Genomic DNA, 2,519 nt, shown 5'->3' with positions numbered 1-2,519 from the left:
TGGACTCTTACCTTTTTATATATTATTTATTTATGCATTTATTTATTTATTTTGGAGACAGGGTCTCACTCTGTTGCTCAGGCTGGAGTGTAGTTCTTTTCATTTTTTAATGCTTCTGCACAACTCTAAATATACTATCAGAAGTTCTCATATATGAATCGAAAGTTTTGCTTAAAGAGCAGCTCACCATAAATGGGCAGGTTGTTTTTCAGATCTTGGTATTCCTCTTCCTCAAGCTCAAAGCCCGTATGTTCTATGAAGGGTTCTAGCTTATCAACACTAAGCTTCACTCCTTAGAAAAAAGAGGACAGGAATGAGAAATGCAAACAATAAGGATAAAGTGAAAAATACTAGGCATGTCCATGAGTTAACAGAGGGTAAACAATCAAAGAAACAATAAAGTTGTTTATATGAAAAGAATTGCTATGTGAATCGGGAGCAGAACGTGCTCTCCCATTTTTGTCTAGAGGATCTGACTATAGCTTTCATGGGACATTTATAAGGAAAAAACTGAAGAACTAGGCAAGTCTGATGAAATGTGGAAAGAAACTGCCTTTATAATTCTATTTGTAAAATAGATTTTAAATGTAGTGATAGAATAAAAAATCCTTTCCCCAAAGGCACTATGTTCAAAGTAGTAAATTATGAGACAAAAACACTTAGTAAACAGGTTAATTGCCAAACTTGTCATCACCCCAAATATATGTGGTTTTAAAAAAGTAAACGCAATCACTTTTACCTGATTTCTCACTTACCTTTGAGAGACCTTGTTCCATTCAGCAACTTACATTTATACAACTTTCCAGCAGCTGTAAGATATTAAAGCACAGTATAGAAACTGATAGAGAGGCCTGATAAAATATTTTAAAAACCAGCAATTTCAGAAGAACAACTCTTATAATTTTACTTAAATCTTTTCGTGTTTGTGTTTATACCTGAAATAAGAATTAGACCAACAGGAGAGCCCTTAAGATAATAAATCTACCTACTTTTTCTTTTTTGACAATCAAAACAATTAGTGGTAGCTTGCCATGCCTTTCTTATATCTCTCTTTGCTTCTGATTTCTCCTTTTCTTCTGAGTTCTCCTTTTCTACTCCTCTGCTTAAGATAATGCATATTGGTGTTTCCAAGTATAATGTGAGATATAGTTAGATTTAGCTCAGGTGATTCTTGAGCAAAAAACCTGATGATTATGACAAGATTTCTTTGAATGTTAGCATTGAGCATTTCCATATATTTTTCACATGACATCAAATGGATGCTTTGCTTTGTGTTTTCATTGACAAGCCCATGACAATAAATTCTTCTTCAAGGTAATCAGTGAGACGTTGTCTGCTGCCGTGACAGCTTTCATATTTACAGAAATTCATCTGTTCCCACATAGGTGGTGAAGTTCCATGGATTTCTGGCTTCCTCTCCACAAATCAACCCTGGAGTAACTGAAGTTTGAGCATTGGATTGTGGGAACCAAGTGAAAAGCCATAACAAAATTCTTGGGAAATGAAAAGCTGTATATGTGTGTGTGTGTGTGTGTGTGTGTGTGTGTTTACAGCCTGGGGTAGAGGGCTAGCAGTGGCAGTTGAAGCACCAATTAGGGAAACTTTTCTTTTTAAAAGATTTTTGCCTTTGCCTTTATGTACCATGAATCTAAGATTATCATTGCCTACTCCTTCACTATAGAAAGCAGCAACAAAAGGCTAGACCAATAGTCAGGTGTCTGGAAGGTAACATCAGGGCAGCACATAAACCCTTCACAAGTGAAGGACTAATGTAAACAAGAGAAGACTGATAAGCTGCCCTCTGGTATTTTATCTTCCTGTAACTTTTATGGTTGGTGGATTGCCTTCTTTCAGTTCTACGTTTCTCTGTGGTTAAAGGTGAAATTGATTGTCACTGTTTGCTGATAATATGATCGTTTATCTTGAGAACCCTAAAGACTCTTCTAGAAAGCTCCTAGAACTGATAAAAGAATTCAGCAAAGTTTCTGGATACGAGATTAATGTACACAAATCAGTAGCTCTTCTATACACCAACAGCAACCAAGCAGAGAATCAAATCAAGAAGTCAACCCCTTTCACAACAGCTGCAAAATAAATAAATAAATAAAATACTTAGGGATATACCTAACCAAGGAGGTGAAAGATCTCTACAAGGAAAATTACAAAATACTGCTGAAAGAAATCATAGATGACACCAACAAATGGAAACACATCCCATGCTCATGGATCAGTAGAATCAATATTGTGAAAATGACCATACTGCCAAAAGCAATATAAAAATTCAATGCAATCCCCATCAAAATACCACCATCATTTGTCACAGAATTAGAAAAAACAATCCTAAAATTCATATGGAACCAAAAAAGAGCCCACATAGCCAAAGCAAGGCTAAGCAAAAATAACAAATCTGGAGCCATCCACACTACCTGATTTCAAACTATACTATAAGTCCATAGTCACCAAAACAGCATGGTACTGGTATAAAAATAGACACATAGACCAATGGAACAGAATAGAGA

General features: G+C 35.6%; 1 annotated feature.

The window, feature by feature from the left end:
* Positions 1,729-1,929: a silencer, noted in NCBI's record as "peak2933 fragment used in MPRA reporter construct". NCBI's record gives its function as "represses an SCP1 promoter by STARR-seq MPRAs in K562 erythroleukemia cells {active_cell/tissue: K562}" and the evidence as "EXISTENCE:reporter gene assay evidence [ECO:0000049][PMID:32103011]".

This window comes from Homo sapiens, chromosome 17 (genome assembly GCF_000001405.40).
Source record: "Homo sapiens chromosome 17, GRCh38.p14 Primary Assembly".
Classification (NCBI taxonomy): Eukaryota; Metazoa; Chordata; class Mammalia; order Primates; family Hominidae; genus Homo; species Homo sapiens.
This window is presented reverse-complemented; position numbering and strand designations above follow the sequence as displayed.